This window comes from Homo sapiens, chromosome 20 (genome assembly GCF_000001405.40).
Source record: "Homo sapiens chromosome 20, GRCh38.p14 Primary Assembly".
In the NCBI taxonomy this organism is placed as follows: Eukaryota; Metazoa; Chordata; class Mammalia; order Primates; family Hominidae; genus Homo; species Homo sapiens.
This window is the reverse complement of record NC_000020.11, coordinates 6,676,717-6,698,774: the sequence shown is the minus strand read 5'-3', so window position 1 is coordinate 6,698,774 and position 22,058 is coordinate 6,676,717. Positions and strand designations below refer to the sequence as shown.

Here is a 22,058-nt window from a genome sequence, read left to right as displayed (position 1 = left end):
CAACTACCAGGGCCCCCTCTGATCAGCAGGTTGTTTGGAATGCTTATTTTAAGTAATCAGTTAATTTCACAGATAATCACAATGGTATTTGTTGGCAGAGATGAAATGACAACATGTCTCGATCATTTTTGTCTTTCCTGCATCTGAGATAGTACCAGCATGTTTTAGGCACTCACACATGTTATCAGAATTTTACCAAGTTTAATAGGCTGTCATTAAAAGGATGTGGGATGTTCTTTGGTTAAGTCCTTAGAGGATTGAGGATTAGTATTCTGGAGATGGGGCAGGTGAGAGTGCGGATGGGGGGAGCTACATGTCGGAGTGCAGAGACTGGCAGAGCGGGGTGGGGCACGAGGCCCTTGGAGTAGACTTTTCCCACTTGCCTTTTTCCCTAGGCTGACCCTGCTGCTCAGAACTCTGAGTGGAGCATGGTTGGGGACACCCTACCTGCTGAGACTTATTTGTCTTCTTTGCTGCATTAGGCCGCTGATGAGTCACTCTTCTCTGGCTTTCAAGTAACAGGTGGAGACAGAAGAGGCAGGGCCCTCCTCGCAGATCAATGCTGGCAGCTGCCTGAGGTATGAAGCTGGAATGTGTGACGTCTCCCAGTTTTGCTTCCAGATCAAGGGATGAGTCCACAATTTCACAGCCTTCAAAGTGAAAACTGCAAGGCTCTGCTACATGGTATCAATTTGGCTGACCTGAGAAATAGCGAGGGGTGGTTGGGGTGCCCCTGCAATATGCCAACGTAGAAACTAGTTAAGGCATAAGCTATGATTGGCCGAAAATCCTTATATGATCCCTGGTGAAGACAAACCTTCATCTGGGCCAGACAGACACAGCACATTTGCACACATGACCCTATTTGATCCTCACTAAAACCACGAGTAGACTGTTGTTATCCCCATTTGTCAAAGGAAGAAACCCTTCAGCATATCCTTCTGGCCTGGCAGGAAGTTCCCAGTCCACTCAGATGCTGAACGGAAAAGACTCTAGAGAAGTGACTGCATGCAGAGGTGTGGACAGGATGAAGCGAAGCAACAGGGGGCTAAGCCACCAGGGGCTAGCAACAGCGGGAGCCTGTACCATCCCCAGGCTTAGAGCAGAGGGGAAGGGTCAATGCCAGCAGAACCCAGAAAGAGCTGCGGCCACGGGAGGGAGGCCACTGACTGGGGTCATGGCCATTAGCGAAGGTGTGATCACTGTCAACACCAGAACTGACCCGAAGGAATGTGGAGACAAACACTCCAACTTCTCTCTCACATCACGGAAGCTAGGAGGCACAGGAAGTGGGTCCCAAGGGTCAGCCTCCTGGGCACAGAGCAGGACAAAGAAGGGCAGAGGATGCATCTGGGGGGACACATGGAGAACGACCAGCATGTGAAATAACTTCTCTAGGCTAGCAGAGGGAGTGTCTGCTGGCAAGACCAGAGAGGGAACACAAGCGTCCTGTTGCAAAAGAGAGAGCCAGGAGACAGGGTCCAGAGCCCAAGAGTCCACGTGGCTTTGACCAAGCCACTTCAGTTCCCTTGGTCTCAGTTTTCACCTCTAAAACGGAACACCAGACTTAATTAACCATAAGACATTGCCACTTGAATAGTCATAGTTCTTCATTCTCCCCCAGATGATACTCTTTGCCTCACACCTTGCTGAAATTGGAATTAATTTCCCTCTTCTCTTCTTTTCTCTCTTTGGACATAAAATGCTTAGGGCATATTACACATGAAACAACAAAGGACACCACAAAAGGCGAGTATTTCTCAGTCACCATTTGTCAGCCCAATGAGCAGGACTCATGAGACATGGAGAATTCCTGGTTACTCAAGGCAGCAGCAGGAGTTACTATTGCTTGGCTGGGAGTCCTGCCACACAGCCCTGGCCTCAGTGTTTACTGCAGGGCATGGGGGCTTTAGAGAGGATGGGGGGCTGGCTACCCAAACAGTGTTGGTGGGAGAATGGGGGAAGAAGCTAGATGTATAAACATACACATACATATGCACACACACACACACACACACACACACACACAGGGCCACACACAATCTATGCAACTTTTCTGGACATATTTTTAGGATGATCGGTGTGTGCCACATTGCGATTCACTAATACTATACAACAAACAGAGGCGGCATGGAAGACTTGAGGAGTGCCAAAACTCTTGAAGTTTTTTGTCTTTTTCAGCCATCAGGCAACCTATTTCACAATGAACTAATTCAGGGAGATGGAAAAGGCTGGAAAAACTTGTATATGCAGTAGAAGTTCAGCCTATTCATGTCCTAAAATGGAATCATTCATAACTGAGAATTTATGTAAACGACACAAAATAATGATTCTGGGCCTGGAATGCGGTTGGACACCCAGCCTTCTGGATTATTCTTTTGCTATTTAACTCTCCTTTCAAAGGCAAGACAGCTGACATTTTTACAATCATTGTACTATAAAAGGAACAGTTGAAAAACGAATGTCCAGTGAACAAACACATGTCCGTATGTGGGTTATCTACCCACATCTCTGAGTATTCCAGCTAGCAGGGCCCATCATACCCTTTTGGGTCACCTGAGGTCATCTGCAGTAGTTCTCAACACACAGATGGTCTCCTGTGTCTCTCTGCCTGAGGTTGCTCTCTGGCCACAGGACTGTGCTTGACCCATGTGCCAAGGCATTGGTGCCCTAGGAGCAACACGTAACTTCTGAGGTATGGAAATTAACATGGCAGGAATACCGCAAGTTCTTTGCCCCTCACTGGGACAGCTCTGAGCATGTTCCACACAGTCTCTTAGAACTGGGCTCCCCAACCCCTGGGCCACAGACTGATACCAGTCTATGGTCTGTTAGGAACCAGGCTGCACAGTAGAAGGTGAGTGAGTGAAGCTGCATCTGTATTTAAGCCATTCCCCATCGATCCCATTACTGCCTAAGTTCTGCCTCCTGTCAGATCAGCCAGGGCATTAGACTCTCATAGGAGTGCAAACCCTACTGTGAAGTGCTCATAGGAGGGATCTAGACTGTGTGCTCCTTATGAGAATCTAATCCCTGATGATCTGTCACTGTCTCCCATCACCCCCAGATGAGATGGTCTAGCTGCAGGAAAACAAGCTCAGGGCTCCCACTGATTCTACATTATGGTGAGTTGTATAATTATTTCATTATATATTACAATGTAATCATAATATAAATAACGTGTACAATAAACATAATGCACTTGAATCACCTCCAAACCATCCCCCACCACCCCAGTCCGTGGAAAAACTGTCTTCCATGAAACTGGTCCCTGATGCCAAAAAAGCTGATGACCACTGTCTTAGAGGGTCCATGGTGGGATTAAGCCTCAGTTGCTCATAAGGGTAACCACTCATCCATTCATGTGGCCTTCCTTCCTTCCCTTTCTCCCCTTACTTCCCCCACTGTTCTCCCCAGAATTACCTCTCAAAAAACTGCCTGCATCCAAATTCTTGCCTCACACTTGCTTTGGGGGAACCCAGACTAAGATAATATCTTTGTGCAAATTAGAAAACGATGCCCCTTCCTCCAGGCCAGTTTGCAGCATGTTGGGCAGAGCACAGGCTGGGTTCCAATGCCCCTCTGTCCTCACTGTGCCCCTTGTGCAGTGAACAACTTACACCAATGCACACAGGCACTCTGGTATCACAGACCTCACTTCTTTAATGTAAAAATTAAATAAGTTAGTGCATGCAGAAATGCATGACACACAGTAGGTGTGCCATGCATAGCAGTTTCCTTCCTCTACGTTTGAAATGTTCACACTGGTTTTCTCAATCTTTTAAATTACTTTTTAGCTTTTTCCTTTTTCTTTATCTCTGCCTTTTCGATGCTATAAGTGCCCCACATTTTTGTGGGGGAGGGAGGGTTTTTTTTTTTAATTATACTTTAAGTTTCGGGATACACGTGCAGAACGTGCTGCTTTGTTACATAGGTATACGCATGCCATGGTGGTTTGCTGCACTCATCAACCCGTCATCTACATTAGGTATTTCTCCTCATGCTATCCCTCCTCTAGTCCCCTAACCCCCAACGGGCCCCGGTGTGCGATGTTCCCCTCCCTGTGTCCATGTGTTCTCATTTGTTCAACTCCTATTTATGAGTGAGAACATGCGGTGTTTGGTTTTCCGTTCCTTTGTTAGTTTGCTGAGAATGATGGTTTCCAGCTTCATCCATGTCCCTGCAAAGGACATGAACTCATCCTTTTTTATAGCTGCTTAGTATTCCATGGTGTATATGTGCCACATTTTCTTTATCCAGTCTATCATTGGTGGGCATTTGGGTTGGTTCCAAGTCTTTGCTATTGTGAATAGTGCTGCAATAAACATATGTGTGCATGTGTCTGTATAGTAGAATGCTTTATAATCCCTTGGATATATACTCAGTAATGGGATTGCTGGGTCAAATGGTATTTCTGGTTCTAGATCCTTGAGGAATCACCATACTGTCTTCCACAATGGTTGAACTCATTTACACTCCCACCAACAGTGTAAAAGTGTTCCTATTTCTCCACATCCTCTCTGGCATCCATTGTAAACAGGCAACCTACAGAATGGGAGAAAATTTTTGCAATCTATCCATCTGACAAAGGGCTAATATACAGAATCTACAAGGAACTTAAACAAATTTACAAGAAAAAAACAACCCCATTAAAAACTGGGAGAAGGATATGAACAGACCCTTCTCAAAAGAAGACATTTGTGCGGCCAACAAACATATGAAAAAAAGCTCATCATCACTGGTGATTAGAGAAATGCAAATCAAAACCACAATGACATACCATCTCACGCCAGTTAGAATGGCGATCATTAAAAAGTCAGGTTGTTTTGTTTTAAAGGCTCATGTACACTTAAAAATTTGTTAAGAGGGTAGATTTCATGTTAGGTGTTCTTACTACAATAATTTTTAAAAGATCACATGTTACTCATAAGAAAAGAAACAAGAGAAAGCTCAGGTCTTTGCTTGCTCCTTTTCACATTCAAGCTTGATAAACTAAAATTGCTTCTGGCTGGCTTTAAGGTTGCCTGTTGAAGTAGTTGAGATAACCACTGGAAATGGGGAAGGAGAAGCTGCTGAGAGAGAATGTTGCCTTGAGCCCAAGGCAGTTCCTTTAGGAGTGCCCCAAAAGCCCAGCCCTCCCAGGAATGACGGCTGGAAAGATCATTCGAGGACACGCAGCTTTGCCTACGCTGGGCTACTGACTCGCCTACTTTACCTGCACTGATTCTTTAACTGAGTGAAACAAATGGCTTGACTAATATTTTTGCCCTGAATCAACCACTTATTTGGACATCTAGCAAACACAGGGTCTCTGTGAAATAGGATCAGGTAATGTCAGCTCTGCACCGGCAGACAGACACAGACTGGATGCAGAGCACATTACTGTTTAGGAAAAATAAAAAGATGATTAGGCATTTATTATTCGAGCTTAGGAAGGAAATTAGCCACTTGCCCTGAGAGTGGATATCATCAACCTGAAATGCCCAGCTATTTGTATACCTATTTAAAACTGAGTTTGAATGCCTGGTAGTAGGAAGATGGAACAAATGTTCTTTTTATCCAGTTGTTTTAAAACTGTGTGGTTAAAAGACACATCTGTTTGGATGCCGTTCCTCTTGGGATTGCCTGACTTGAATTTTAAAAACCAAAAGGGTTTTTAGCTGGACATGATCATTAGCTGGGTACCATGCTCTGTGCAGAGGGGAGGACCTGACAGTGGCCTTTCCTTGCATTGCAATGAAGCCTCCCAGGGGTGGCATTGCAGAGCTCCAGCTGCACGGGGCCTGTGAGGCCGGACGCAGTGTGTTCTTCTGAGGATGGGTGATTGATGTGAGCGAGCTCAGAGGCCCAGGAGTAAATGAGTCAGCAGCAGGGAGCAGAAGCAATGAAACAGGGGTATTCTCTCGAATCTTTGCTTATTTTGGGACAGCCCGATACTCTTCTCAGAGGGAGCAAATAAATAGTGGAGGGAGACGCGCTTATGTAACTCATTTCTAAAACAAGTGGGTGACGTCACTGAAGGAATCAACAGCTTAATTAAAGAAGTTAAATAGAATTGATGTAAACACAGCTGGCCTCCTTTCAATGTAGACTCATACTATTCTTAGCTCCACCACTAATTAACTGTGTGAACTTGGACAAGCATGCTGGGCCTCAGTTTCCTCAAACATAAAATGAGCAGGTCATCCAAGGCAATGGCCCAGCTACTTTCCAGATCTAATATCCCTCAATTCTATCACATATAAATAGTGGCAGAAGTTTTCCTAATTGTTGCAATGACAATAGTACCTAATATTTCCTGAGCACCTCCTATGTGTCAAGAACCATGATAGAGGCTTTAAAATATATTCTATCAAAACACATGATCTCACCGTTTCCTTTAAATAACCTCATGAGGTAGAGAACATTATTATCCTGATTTTGCATGTGGAGAACCTGAGGCCATAAAAGATTATGGCCCTTGGACAAAGTCATGTAGTAAGTAGTTGATTTGGTAAGGGTCTCAGCAGGAAAGAGATGACATATTGAAAGGATTTAATTGAGAATAACTTAATATAGGGGCTCCTTATGGATCTGTGGGCAGAGCTAAAACAACCAACAGGGAATGGCCAGGCACTGGAACTGTCAAAAGCAAGGGAGCCCAAGGAGATATGGGAATGAAGTGGATGTCACTGGAGCAAGGCAGAAGCAAAGGAGATGGGACACCTGTCTGGAGCTGGAGCATGGAGGAGCACAGCCACCATTAGAACCACAGACAAGCAAGGCGGAAGCAAGAGGAAGAAATATCCCAGCCTCTCCCTCTTACTGCCATCCTGCATCCTGCTAGACCCTCTCATTGCCTATACACAATCAAAGCCAAAGGATAAAGGAGCCAGGGAATGTAGTCCCTGAGGTCAACCTCTTGGTGCAACAGCAGGGCAGAAGAAAAGAGAGAAGGGGTCCAGGGACCACATGGAGAATAATCAGCAAAACAAAGCCAGGGTTGTAGCATTGCTCTCTCTGAGTCCAAAGACCATGAACCTTCCCACTGGGTCCAGCTAGATGACAGATGTGTAAGAAGGCGTATTGCATACACTAGACTATAATAAGATTATTGGAACTTGAGAAGCTGTAAATTCCTTGCCAATGTCTCCATGGTCCTGGTCATCAACGTTAGTGGCATCACGACAACTCATATCATAGCATCCTCACTACATTTATGGTTTTTCCCTTGAAGACATATCAGTGGGTTTCTAGTGCTGCAGGAATGGGAACGTGAGGGGGAGGAGGGTGGAAGAGCATTACTCATACGTCTTTTCTTACATAGTGTAATAATATTTAACGTTTGAATGTAAGTTTCAATAAAGAAGCAGGCCCCGATGCGCACAAACACATGGAGTTGTACACTCTTTGGTCTACTATTCTTTTTTTTTTGCATGGTACCCTCTGTACCCTCAACCCATCTCTCACCTCCTAAGAGACATTACCATAAGCCCATTTCCCCATTTCCGTGCAGTCATCTTTTGCATATACTACTCCCTCTGCCTGCAACGACCTCTTTCCTCACTTAGTGAAACTAGATTTCTTCTCCAGAAAATGAATCAAAGTTCACCTCTCCATTGTGAAGCCTTCCTCACTTCCCTGTTCACTCCCTTATCTACATTTCTTTGCACTAACGTCTATCACAGCACTTTGAAGTTGTAAATATTTCTGTTTGCTTCTGCAGTGGACTGTGAACCCATGAAGAAAGGTGTTGGTTAAAAAACAATAAAAGGAGTAACACTAACTAACATTTACTTAGCACTTACTAAACAGTAAGCACATGCATTAGTTCAACTAAGCCCCGCAATAAACCTATGAGTTGGGTGTAATTTTTATTTCCATTTTGCAGATGTAGAAACTGAGGTCTGGAAAGATTAACTTGCCTGAAAGGTCATCTAGCTATATCTATAGATGTTTCAGATGTTTATAGTTTTTTTTTTTTTTTTTTTTTTGAGACAGAGTCTCGCTGTCGCCCAGGCTGGAGTGCAGTGGCGTGATCTCGGCTCACTGCAAGCTCCGCCTACTGGGTTCATGCCATTCTCCTGCCTCAGCCTCCTGAGTAGCTGGGACTACAGGCGCCCGCCACCACACCCGGCTAATTTTTTGTATTTTTAGTAGAGATGGGGTTTTACCGTATTAGCCAGATGGTCTCCATCTCCTGACCTCGTGATCTGCCCACCTCAGCCTCCCAAAGTGCTGGGATTACAGGCATGAGCCACCGCACCCGGCCTATAGATGTTTTTAGAAGTCGTGCAAGTAAATGTATTCTCTCAAATAAAATGTATAAAAAGTATAGAAGAGTGGGCATAGGAGTCAATCCTGGCTATGTAAGAATTGGACAAAACATCTCAACACATGTTTATTGAGCAACTACTATGTACCAAGCATAGATACCAGGAACAGTGTGATTAAGTAGTGTAAATATTGAATCCTTCTATTCAAAAACTTAAATTGTTAGCCATTTTGTATAAAAACTTAGGAAGTAAAAATAATTGAATTTTGCCAGTGATGTTTATTTCTTTTACTCACACATACATTGTTTATCTCGAGAAAATATGATTAAATGTTGGCATTTGTTAATTCTGAAATCCTACTACATGGGTATTTGTTAAATTAGTCTCTATGTTTTGCCAAATTAGAAAGTTTTTCAAGTTGAACATACACAGAATACTTACCTGATATTTTATATGTAGTAGATACTAAGTAAATATTTGTCAGTAATAATGAAAATGAAGAGGCAAGCTATTAATACAAAAAATTAACACAGATCAAATGAAAGTTCAGACAACAAAAGCTGCATGAATTTCAGAGTCGTCATGGAACATAAAACACTGTCTGGTGTCTGAAGTACATCTTAGATCAAGTTCCAAACATATCAAAAACATAATGCTTCTGGGTCCTGAAAAATATTCCCAACTAAATAATAACTCCACAAAAAAGTCAAGGATATTAAATTGCTGAATCATTAAACCTGACATGACAATACTATGTATTGTTCCATGGCATGAAAGAATAGTAACGACACCCCCACCAAATCACTCATCTAGTAGATTGCTGATCGCTTCTGCTAGCTCTGAAGTCTTTAGGTGGCCACACTCCATTAAGTCTGATTTCACTCTAATTTTGTGTGTGTGTGTGAGTTTGTGTGTATGTGAGCACACATGCTCACATCTGAATTAGTGTACAAACATGGCCCCAAACTAACTGAGATTGCAACATCCTCACCAAATGCATATGAGACCAGAAGGCTGGCAGGAAGTTGCCCACCCTCCCACATGCACAGACTGAGTGGAGAAGCTCCCGCCCTCACCTGTATATTTCGTCTCTATGGTGCTGTAATTCTGGACTACAAAAAATAAAAGTAAAAATAAGATTTGCCGTGAAACCCCGTCTCTACTAAAAATACAAAAAATTGGCCAGGCGTGGTGGCAGGTGCCTGTAGTCCCAGCTACTCAGGAGGCTGAGGCAGGAGAATGGTGTGAACCCGGGAGGTGGAGCTTGCAGTGAGCCAAGATTGTGCCACCGCACTCCAGCCTGGGCGACACAGCGAGATTCCCTCTCTAAATAAATAAACGAATAAATAAATAAATAAAAATAAGATTTGCTTCTGGTTTTAGATTCGGGAAGGTAACTACGGGTTGATGTAAGTGCGAAAGAGTCATTTAGAATGTTTGTACACATTTGGCAATGTATTACATTATATATACCTATGTGCATATGTATATACTATTCGCATTAGTATATATAATGTATATACAAATGTATAAATAATGTATAAAAATAAAAATCATATGTGTGTGTGTCATATATATATATATATATATATATATATATATATATATATGTATATATATATATGAATGACAGGGTGAAATTAAGCCGACAGAAATGCGGGCAGAAAGAAGAAGGCTAGGGAGGGAGATAATATTTCAACAGCCTCCTAATAATTTTTCTTAGGATTTTTCTCATTCCATCTCCTCATTGGCTCCCCCTACGCATTCCCAACACTGTGCCCCTAAAAGCCAAGGGTTATTATGCATTGCTAAAAGGCTTCTCAGATTGTTTTCATCTCCCAACAAGTCCCCTCCTTCCCACTGAGAACTGCCACTGAAATCCATTCCTTGTAAGGCCACCAGAGTTACCTTTGCATGTCACGCAACCAGCCTGAAATTTTTCACCAAACTTTCCCTGCACAACTCCTCAGAAAGCCCCCAACAACGACCCTTCACAGTTTGGTTTCTGCTCATATTTCAGTCTTGGCCAAAATCCTTGCCCACTCCATTCATAGGTAACTCTGAGGTCCCTGGATGACCCTACAAGGAGATTCAACATTCCTAGGTACTCACAAAAGCAAAAATCTCTTGAAGAAACAAAGCATTCAACCTAGTTGTTGAAGGTCAAATCAGAAATGTGCCTCCCAGTTACTTTCAGATTTAACACTGATATTAGAATACATTTGAGAGGGGTTTTGTACCATGGTTCCATTATTCTTTAGATTCCCCAGAGATCTTAATCTGGTCTTAATGTGAACTTATCAGGATATTTTCCACCTACAACCCTTTTCATATCCTTCTCCCTCTGCTTGAAATGTCCTCCCAGTTCCACAAGCGGGTACACTGGGTCTATGTAGCTTGTACTTACTTTTCCTTGAAGACTCAGCTTAAACATCCCTGATGCTTTGAAGCTTTCCTGAGGTGATCTCTCTTCCCATGAAATTACTGTCATGGCTACCACTTATGACCACTTACTATGAGCCAGGCACTATTCATGTGCTTTGAATGGATTTCTCATTTAACCCTCAATCACATGTTGGGGTAGTGCTATTATTATCTCTACTTCACAGGTTAAAATTTTGAGGCTTAGAGAAGTTAGGTAGCTTGCTCAAAGCCACAGAGCTAGCATATGGTAGAGCCAAAGACAGAAACGATGACCATCTATATCCATGACAATTGGCTTTCCAGCCTCTCTGCCTCTCTGCGGTAGCCCTTGTCTCACTTTGTTGTGACCACTGGTTTAGTTGTCTATTAACATGTGTGTCCCACTAAGTTGCAAATCCCTTGGGTGCAGGATGCATTGAAAATTCATTGTTAGTGTCACACTTCTGGGATCCTGTTGGAGGGATCTGGGTACTTGGAGGAAAGAGGGAAAAGAGAAAAAAAAAAGTTTCTCCAGTAACCCTGGAATCATTGTCAGACCTTGTAATGACGCTTTCCAGGGCTCTCATATTTTCCATGGTAGCCTAACCCAGTTTCTCACTATTCCTCATTCGTGTTCAATTCCACTCCAAGGAAACAGCCTGACCCCATGCCTGAGAGGGCTGTGTGCGTTATGGTACATAAAAAAAGAAGCCTTACAAATAGCAAGTGTTTTGAAAACTCTTTACTATATTCCCATTTTCCCTACCTACCTCCACCCAAAAAAAGCTGGAGTTATGAAACGCATGCTAAATATTGAGCCATTAAACTTAGGGATATTGAGAGAACTGTTTTCTTAAAAGCTTATTTTTTTCTGCTCTCCTTGTTTTGCCCTGAGTGTTTTTAGCAGTTCAAACAGGTTGGGTTGCCCACAAAGAGCAGGGCACAGGTTTTTTCCACCCCGTAGGTTGAGGTATTCATTCCCACTTTAAACCTCTCTAAATTTATGTGCCAGTATTTTCCAAGTAGATGTATTTGTAGATATGTTCAGGATAGAACTGGACATTCACAGTATTGACTGAGACTGGGAGATGACAGCTGGACAAATTCGAGGTTTCGAGCCTCATCCTCAGCCTGACCTTTGGCAGCAATGGAAATGTTTGCACTTTGCAAAGCTTGTTATTCTCTGTGTGTGTGTGATCATGTGAGCATGTGAGTGTGTGTGAGAAAGATAGAGTGATGGGGGAGAGAGAGAGAAAGAGAGAGAGAGAGGGACTTGAGAGAGAGAGAGAGAGAGAGAGAGAGAGAGAGAGAGAGAGAGAGAGAGAGACGGACTTGGCTTTTAAGAATAATATTATAATAATTGCCAGAATGGGTCAGGCCTGGGGCTTCTGGGCTCCTGGGTTCCTGCTGGCCAGAGTATTGGCTCTGAAAGAAATACCACAACATACTATTACATTATTGTCTGAGTTCTTTATGACAGAGTCCCTTATGACACTTCTGTCTTTCTAATCTCTTTTCCCATGTCACCTCTACCTTGGTGACCTAACATGGCTCTACCATTTTTTCTTTCTTATTATTTTTTTGGTGGGTGTGAGTCGAGTTTATTGAGATGTAATTTATTTACCTTATTTTGACAAATGCACCTAGTCCTGTAACTGACACAGCAATTAAGATGCAGAACAGTTTCCTCAGCCGTGAACATCCCTGTCTACCCCTTTGTAGTTAACCACTTCCCCAAACCCCAGGCCCTGGCAACCACTGATCAGTTCTCTGTTCTTATACAGGTTTTAGACTATCTTACAAATGGAATTATACAGTATGTCATCTTTCATTTCTGGCTTCTTTCACATCACAGAGTATGCTGGGGAGGCATGCCTGCTGTTGCATCAATCAGTACTTTATTATTATGATTTTTATTCTGAGTATTATTTCATTGACTGGATGCACTGCAGGATGTTATCTGTATACCAGCTATTTATTCAATAGTTGATTGTTTCTAGATTTTACTGATTATGAATAAAGCTTCTATAAACAACTGTATATAGTTTTTTGTGTGAAATTTTGTGAAAATTTTTCATTTTTCTTGGGTGAATCCTCAGGAGTGAAATTGCTGGGCCATATTGATAAGTGCACATTTAACATTATAAGAAAGTAACAAGTGTTTCCAAAGGCAATCTGCCATTTCTTCGTTCATCTAACAGTTTCAAAAGACTTCAGCAGGCTTCCTGATCATGTCCATTAATGCCAAAAAGCATTGTGTGAAGCAACGTATTAAGGATATGAGTATAAAATGGGTCAGACTGCTTAAGATCCCAGTCCAGCGGCTGCAGGAACAGTAGATGAACTATTACCATTTTCCAGGGTTTTTAGGCATCCTTTGTCAGGAAATTATCACCAAAAAAGGTTAACTCACCTCCCCTAGATGACTCTGTTCCCAGGTTGTGAATAAGTCATTCTGGCTCACGGGAGAACCAGGCCTATTATTAGCACCCATTTCTCCATTTTTAGGAGGAGACGGTAAAGCCTGAGGAGTTTAAGAATGGCCTGGAGTTTAGATGTTCTAATACCTGATTCCTACTGTGACAGTGACTCACTGGATGACTCTGGTATACCAACCCGATGCTCCGAGATTTCGTTTCCTGAAGTCTGAGATAGGATTGCTCTGTTGACTCAACTCATTGCTTGGGGAAAAGAGATTACAAATAGGAAGAGTGTCACACAGGGGCGTTGATGCTGGCAGTCTCACGGCATCATGGGCCTGGACACCTTTTTCTCAAGAATGAGAAAGACCATTATTATCCCATTCCCTAGATGGAGACTCTCTCATAAAGAGAGATCACATGCCTGACCCTGTGAGACACAGTGAGTCAGAAGAGTTTAAAGAGTTCTCAAGACTCCCAACACTCTTTCTGAAGGTGTCCACTGACTCACTAAATCCCTTCCTTCTAGAATAATTTTACAAGCTGAAAACATGGTTGGGCATATAACTTGGCCCTTGGCCCTTCTCAAAGATGTTAATAGCTGAACTCATCTCCAAAATGGGCATCTTACTTTCAGGCGGCCCTTTCCACACAGCAGAATTCTTTAATAAACTGGTCCAGGCTGACCTTTAAAGGATGAATAGGGGATCCCAAGGCATATCTACAGCAGACACTGCATACCTACAGGTTCTTGATTTTTCTTACCACTGCTGGGCATGCCAGCCTGATTTCCCATGTCCATAACCTGCATTTTTTTTTTTCTTCCCTGTTTTTTCTTTTGTTTGCTTGTTTTCTTTTTTTAGCACACACCACTTTGGGGATAACACCTTCATCTTTGTCATGAGACATTCCCTAGGCTCAGAACCCATATTGCCCTGTGCATTGCCAATGGCTGTGTCTGTGAATTCACATCCTACCAGGGCAGCCCTAGCCAATGACTGGGCATTGGGTCTTCTGGCTGAGATAATATTGAGGTGTCTGTTTTGCATTGTTTTGTAGAGTTTCTCCCCGGACTTTTGTCACTTTTATGGAAAGCGCCTTAATAATACACCATTTCTTGCCTGCTTTTTCTCCCCACATCAATTCCTCCCTTCACCCACCCAAGCTCCTGGTACTGTTCAAATAAACTACCTGCTCTCAAACCTTTGCCTTGGGTCTGGTTCTGGGGAATCTAAACTAAGACAGTCATCCACATTTTGCATTTTCATATATGTGCACATTTTTTTCTGAGGACATCACAGACTTTCTCGAATTCTAAAAGGAGTCTGTAACTCCCTTACAATGATTAAGAACACTGCTAAGACATTCTTTTACTCCTTTGGAAATCTCTTCTCCCTCTGTCCTTGCTATTTACTTCTTCCACAGATCTCTCAGTGCTACCCTCTTGCTGTTAAATCTACTGGAATGAATCAAATGAATCTTAAATTTATGCACATTAATATTTAGCTAATAACTGTTAATTACTTACATAATAACTAAGGGCATATATGTCCCAGGGACGTTTTGACTTGAAACAATATTGAAGCACAAAGTAGAAAACATAGGTTTTGTATCTACAAGGAATCCAAGTAATTCTGGATACCTTAGGGGAAAATTTTAGTCAAAGCATTAAAGGAAAAGAGTCAAGTTGATTGTTGAGCGTTCTTCTAATAAAACATTGCTTCATGTGTTTTCATCACATAGATGGGGCTCTGGCAATTGAATTTATATATGAACACAAAATGTGACATGCACACCAAAGACAATTATAAAACTTATAAGCATGTAGGACAGACACAATTGCTTTTAACTGTCTATAAAAAGTAAAGGTGTGTCCCTTTCTAGAAAAGGTTTGTAGCTCACGATGTCATTCAAATAGTTTTACTCACTGACTATATAACCTGGGATTCTCTTAGTGGTACCTTGCCCTCAAGTTATTTCTAAGGTACTGACCACACACACACACACACACAGTTTTTAAACCAAATGCACAATGTTCTTTCATATCCAGTATCGACATCAAGGAATATCAAACATAACGGCTGACAGTCTGAGGCTTACTGTCTGCTTTCAAAGAGCTGCCAAAACATTCAAAAGAAAACACTCCAATTCACAGCAGGGCTCGTTGTCAGTTTACCTGATCTGAAATTCAACACTATCATAACTCCTAACATTCTCACTTACTTGCCTTAGGAAAATGGGGGGAAAAAGTAATTTTCCTCAGTAGAAGACTACCGTCTGTTTGACAAAGCTTGCGTTTGATCTTCACACATCTACCCGCGCCAACAAACACAGATCAAATTCTGCTTCTGTGACAGGAGGAAGAAATATAACCTCGCAGCTTACTAAAGAAATGGTATGAATGTGGCCATTCCAATGCAAGTATTGTCAGATGGCAGCACTGGCTTGTGAATAGAATCCAGTCACTGCAAGTGAGCAGGAGGTGTGTGTGCCCATCATTTCCACTGTACACAAAGGAGAAATGTCTATGCTTAACAGCACTCACTTCCTTCAGGCACAATTGACAATCAGGCCTCCCCTGGCAAGCTAACAAAAACTATGTTTTCAGCTGAATGAGCTAGAATTCCTTGTTCACTCACTGGTAGCCATGTGGATGCTTAGAAGGATGCATCCATTCTTAGAGGTACCATCTTTTGCTTCGCAAACATTGAGAATTCAGTGGTTATAATTCAAACAGATGTAATTTTCCATATTAAAAAAAAAAGGCCCATTCAAGCTTCCCAGCCAACTAAGTAAGATTTTGTGCTAATTCAGATGCAGCTCTTGTAGTTCTGAATAAACAATTGAAGTAAATTGTGGGGCTTGGGATTTTGTAAAGACAAAGGACTTTAAAAAAAAATAACTTTATTCAAAAATGTTCTCTTTCTCTTTCCTTCACTTATTCCTTCCTCCCTTGTTCCTCTTTTACTATCTATCTCTACTTTTTGTTAAAGTACAAGATGGACACAGAAAAGATTCTCAGCTTCATTTTTACCAAGTGACCACAGTTGTATAACCAGATCTTAGGTTAAGAACAAAAGATTACCAGCACCAGGAAGCTGCCTTGGGCTACCTTGCAGTCCCTACTTCTTCCACCAAGGGTAACTGCTCTTCTGAACTCTAATTTCCTAAATTCATTTGGCCACTTTTTAAACTGTATAAATGAAATCATACAGATGTACTTTTTGTGTCTAGCTTTTTGTTGTTTTAGTTTGTGCATTCTCATTGCTGTATAGTATTCCTTTGTACACATATACCACAATATGCTACAATTCGTTTACGCATTCTTCTATTTCTGGGTATTTGAGTAATTTCCAGTTTCTGACTATAACAAATAGTGATACTGTAAATCTTGAACAAGTCTTTTGATGACCATCAACCCCCATGTTTTTAGTGACTATATATGCTCAGTAGTAGAATTATTGGGTTTTTTGGCATGTTTAACTTCAGGAGACACAGCCAAATAGGCTGGCAAAGAGCTTGTACACTTGGCGTTTTTCACTTTTACATCTTAGCCATTCAGGTGTGTGTATTATTTTATTTGTAGCAAGGTTTTTGTTTGTTTTAGAGATATATCATGTTCCAAAGCATGTCCTAGGCACAAAGAGCCAGATCCTGATCTTAGAAATTTGATGAGAGACAGAGAAATACAACAATGCATACAATCCACAGTGGTGAGACATATAACAAAGGTAAATATGAAATTCAGTGGAAGCAACAAGGAAGCATTTCTCCAAAGAGGTGACAAAGAATATATAAACTGAATAGATTTATTTTTATTTTATGTGAAGCTTCCTAACTTAGTGTAAATTTCTCATAATGTGAGCTAATAACACAATTTCTTGTTTTGCATATTTAAGAACATGTTACTTAAAGCTTTGCTTACTCCCCCAGTTTATTCTTCATGCATTTTGCAGCAGATTATTTGTTTACCATCTCATCTACTCTTTGACATATTTTTCCTACAGTTATACAGAAGGCATGGAGGGAGAGAAATCCTCCAGCTCAAATAAAAGCAGCCTATCAAGCTTCAGAATTAAACAATGAGTAAGTTTGAAATACATGGAAAGTAAATTTGTTTTGAAGGAAACCAGAAAAAAAAGAATTATGAGATTGCTCTGGAACGATGAGTAGAAGCCAAAGGAGAAAATGAATAAGCAAAGAGAGAAAGGATCAAGGCTCATTTAGAGACCAGCAAAAGGTTGTGCTCACGTTGAGTAATGGTGGGAGAAGTATGCTGAGGCAGACTGGGAGCAGAGGTAACAGGTCTTAATTGCTATCATGGAGAGCTGAGAATTTGTTCTTTAGGTCTTCATGAGGTTAGAGAGGTGTTTGAAAAGCAGAATACCCTAATCAGAGTTTTAAAGTATGATATTTGTAACCACACTAAATCAGCAAGCACAGAAATTACTGGTGGCATTGATATCAAATTTGCCGTGAGGTTGTGCCATTTCTCTGTGTTTCACAGTGACGACTTTACTATCTATGACTGCCTGGGTTCCAATTCTGCCCGCAGCACTTACCGGCTGTGTGACGCTGGGCAAGTCAGCTTCAATTTTGTCAACTGGATGGTAGTAGTTCCAACACTTCCTACTTCCTAGAGCTGACGTGGGGGAAATTACCCAAGCAAAAGCCTCAGCTGCAGCCTGGCAAAACATAAGAGCTCTAAAGGTGTTAATTACGAGGTTAAACAGGAGATAAAAAAAGCACCAGGCTGATGACTTATGCCTTTCCTGTGGAACACCATGGGTGTTTTATGTACAAATGTAGAAAGGTAATCACATTGACATGTTCAAAAACAATCTATGATTCTAACTATGCATTCATGTACTCAACAAATAGGTATCATGAGTGTTCTGTGTACAATATAGAAAGGTAATAAAGTGGATATGCTTAAAAACATTCTAAATTCACATTCATGGATTCAACAAACAGGTGTTAAGGCTCTGACACAGGCAGATCCTGTGCTGGACACCCTAGACGCTAAGAGAAAGAGAATTGCTTCTACTCTGTGGAGCCATTATGCAGTGTGAGTAGTGCTCTAACTGAAGGAAGTGTAGAGGAAGCACCCAATCCGGTTTGGGACAGCCAAGAATGATTTCCTACAGATGACAAGTAAACAGAGATTTGAAGTGTAAGCTAAACAAAGGACACTTATGTGTGGGCATAGCAAAGGATGGAGAAATAATATATGCAATGAGAACAGAATTTATTAGAAGTAGGGATTAAAAGAAGCTATTTGAGCCCATTCCCTCTGGTTGCAGTGGGCTAATCATGTGATAGTAACAGTTCATCTATTACTTCATGCGCCAGATCTTTATTGAGTATCAACTTTGTGCCTAAAAGTGTTTCAAGTACTAGGGATATAGCCATCTATATGAGATGCTCCTGTCATCTTGGAGTTCATATTCTGCTTGTCAAGAAACAATTAGTAAAGAAGAAATGACAGATGTGACAGACACTGCAAAGGGCATAAAACAAGATGGTGTGCTGTGAATGGTTTAGATAGGAGAGATGGAGATGAGAGAGTGTCTCCAAAGACATGACATTGGAGCTGTGGCTTTAAAAGAACAGGGAAAGAATATTCCAAGGAGAAGGAACTGCAAGCCCAAGGCAGTGAGGTGGGTTTGAGCTGGAGGGATGGGTATAACATGAGTTTGGAGATGTAAACAAGAGTCAAGTCACATGGAATCTTGGAGGTCAATGTCAGGTGCAGATTTTATTCCAACTGCAGCGGGGACCTGTTGGGTGGATGGGTAGGAACCTGAAGCAGAGAAGTGTCAAGCCAAAAGGAATATTGTATGGTAAGTGTTATTGGAGCAGGGCAGCAAGGGAAAGAGAAGTCAGCCCAGCAGCCTGAAGAGCCCTTCTAGGTGAAGCCCAATGTCTATACTACACATCAAAGGGTGCAAACACAAGTAACATCTACATTGCCTCCAATTCACTTTGTCAAAGGAGAAGGAGGCCTGTCTTTATCTGGAAAGATACCATATCATCCTAAATACTTTCTAAAAATGCACTGGTTTGCCCATCCCTGAATGAAGATGTATCCACTCAAAAATATCCATTGCTACTTCCTTTAGTCAGCCTCCAGGTTGGAAGCTGAGTGGCTCTATTTTTTAAAAAAAAATCAATCCAAAATAAATAAAAGAATGTAAAATGTTAATCAGAAGTAAACAAAGGGATAGAATAAAGGAGCCAGGCACTACTAGTAACTTTTATTGCTTTTGTTGGGAGCCTAGTGAGGGAATTTTAGATGAAATTCCCCCTTCAGCCTCCAGGAAATAGTGACTTTGTTCAAGTAAAGCAGTTTCCCTTCCCTGTGGCCCTGTGTGGTCCACTGTGATTCAGACCTGGCCTGTTTTCAGCCTGCTAGAAGAGTGTCAGAATAGGTGTGACCCCCTCCCGACCTTTCCTGATTTCTCAGTAGGAAGGAGTCATTCACATGAACTCTTCACGTTATAGGCTCTGGGAAACAGGTATAAGAGGCCCTACTTGGGAACAAGAGTTAGTTTGAAACAGAGATATTTCATCCTGGTGGTCTCTAGCATTGTCCCACACTTGGTTCACATGATTTATGTCAGTAGAATCTCCAACTGCCCAGGAGTGTGAATTTCACAGGGATTGCCAGGAGATGGGAATCACTGACAAAAAAGTGGGTTCATTTTATTTCCCTGGATTTTTTATCACAGACCTTTGGCCATTCAGAGGAAGCAAATAATTCCTAACTTGAGGATCTATTAAAATGGCGGTATCACTGAAGATAAAATGTGGATCAACCAAAATTTCAATCTTAAAGTACATACCCTTCCACCTATGTTGGTTACTTCCAATACAGAACTCAGTAGCAGACATCTGGCACATTTAGTTACCACCTATGAGCACCCTACCTAGCAATACCAAGCTGTCTGTCTTAGTCTCTCAGCCTAATTCTGGAAACCCACCATCCCCTGCTCATTGAGGCTTGCAAACAAGTTTAAGCATTCGATTAAACAAAAGACAATTTTTATTGAAAAAAATGCAATAAATTTGACAGTCAAAGATGACTAGAGATATAGAATAACTTCACTGCTCCTCTCCTCATTGACCTGGCTTAACAGTTGTTTTTATTTCTTCCCAGGAACCAAAGCTCTGGAAACATCTATTCAATTTTTAAAGCACATTCATTTTTTCAACATGAATGTTGATCCAGTTAAGATTGTCTTCTCAGTGATGTTTTTCTCTTTAGAAAGATGATTTTTTCCCCCTACTAAGATCTCAGGTCAGGGCCTATACCCAAAGTAATCATAGAGTTGTTGTTTTTTTTTTTCCTGTCTCCAACATGTTATCATTTTTCTGTTCCATGGAAGTGATGTATTTGGAGCTGTGAAATACTTATCAACATCATAGCACCTGACATTCTTATCTTAATGATTAAAATTAGTCAGTTCTTAGAGGAATAAATTCCATACTCATTGCTCAGAAGCAAGCTTCCTTAGTTGATTAAAAAATTTCAACTGTGATGATAGGAATTGTAAATTTGATTTTGTGCTAAGAACGTGATTATCAAAATCATTTCTAAGTAACGTCAAGGTAGAAAAGCAAGACTTCTGTTTTCTTCTGTGACTTCTAATATTTTAATTTATATCTCTCTATTTTTTAGCAAGTTTGCATTTTTACTCCAATATTCTTTTTTATTTTTGTCTCATATTCAGAGATACTAGATCATCAAACTAAATATAATCAAAATTGAATTATAAAGAACAAAAATGTGATTCATACATAATCTATAATAAGGTTGTTATGAGAAGAGCTCAGAAACTTACCAGCTCTGCAGTTCCCAGTACTACATAACAATATCTACTCTTACTGTTATTAAAGCATTAGGTAAAGTTTCTCCCCTCCATAGTTTTCATCTTCCAAAAGAATCCACCACCAAGAAAAACCAAATGCTTCATTTTTTGAAGCTTCCCCTGTTGGTTAACAGGTATTGATAGCTGATGATATAAGACTGGAATATCCTTTAGAGATTTCATTGTTTATTTTTAGTTAAGGATTGAATACATGTTTTTTTTTTTCCTCTAAGAATATATGTTTGATATGATCTCTAAAACCTGAAAAGTTGCTGGTTATTTTTTAAAAGCAATTGAAATGTATCATTGATAATGTGATGTCTCATAGGACCTGATGTGTGCCAGTAGATTTTGGACACACAAAGCCATTTATTTATTTATGCATTTATATGCTCAAACCACTCTTAGAAGGGAATAAATGAGAGGAGGCGTTTACAATTGAAACTCTGGTATATTGACTTCAACCAATGGTTTTAAGTCAAGTTATTTATATTCTTACAGAGAAAGTCTTCATGTCTACTACTTCTAAGTATTGGCTAAATTAAGCTATTCTTCATTTATGAACAATCCTGCATTCATTCATGTAATCATAAAATATTAGAGCTAGAAAAAAATAAACTCAGTTTAACTTAATCCTAGTCTTTCATTTTATAATTGACAAAATTGAGAGGTGGGGACGATGAATGACTTTCTTACAGTCTTCATTACTTACTTATTCGTTCTATATCTTACAAAAGGACTTAAGGTAATTTACAGATATACTATGAGAGAGAGAACAGAAAATAAAATAGGATCGAAACGGTGGCTAAATTTGGCCACAAATATAGTCCTGGGTGTCCAAGTGGCAAAAGCTGAATGTAATCTTCACAAAATCCAAGGTGCCTCTGAGCTACCTCAGATCAATTACTTAAGTAAAACATAGAGTCCCTGTAGAGAGGGCTGAGAACAATGCTTCTTCAATCTACTACATTCTTAATTAGAAAGGAAGTTACTAATTCTCAACCTGATTGTATTTTCTCCATGCCTCTGACATCAGTTTTTAATCATATATGAGAAGCATGACTTAAAACACCCCTCCAATTTCTTACAATTTCTCTTCCTTTAGAATG

At 40.9% G+C, this 22,058-nt stretch overlaps 4 annotated features.

Annotated features, from left to right (window-relative positions):
• Window positions 1-1,200: an enhancer, noted in NCBI's record as "P300/CBP strongly-dependent group 1 enhancer chr20:6678222-6679421 (GRCh37/hg19 assembly coordinates)". NCBI's record gives its function as "activates an origin of replication core promoter dependent on BRD2, BRD4, P300/CBP, MED14 and CDK7 cofactors, with strong dependence on P300/CBP, by STARR-seq in HCT116 cells {active_cell/tissue: HCT116}" and the evidence as "EXISTENCE:reporter gene assay evidence [ECO:0000049][PMID:35650434]".
• Window positions 1-1,767: a biological region, named in NCBI's record as "P300/CBP strongly-dependent group 1 enhancer GRCh37_chr20:6678222-6679421".
• Window positions 505-1,135: an enhancer, noted in NCBI's record as "H3K27ac-H3K4me1 hESC enhancer chr20:6678287-6678917 (GRCh37/hg19 assembly coordinates)". NCBI's record gives its function as "activates a minimal SCP1, AML or CMV promoter by ChIP-STARR-seq in primed H9 embryonic stem cells {active_cell/tissue: H9 hESC(primed)}" and the evidence as "EXISTENCE:reporter gene assay evidence [ECO:0000049][PMID:30033119]".
• Window positions 1,136-1,767: an enhancer, noted in NCBI's record as "H3K27ac-H3K4me1 hESC enhancer chr20:6677655-6678286 (GRCh37/hg19 assembly coordinates)". NCBI's record gives its function as "activates a minimal SCP1, AML or CMV promoter by ChIP-STARR-seq in primed H9 embryonic stem cells {active_cell/tissue: H9 hESC(primed)}" and the evidence as "EXISTENCE:reporter gene assay evidence [ECO:0000049][PMID:30033119]".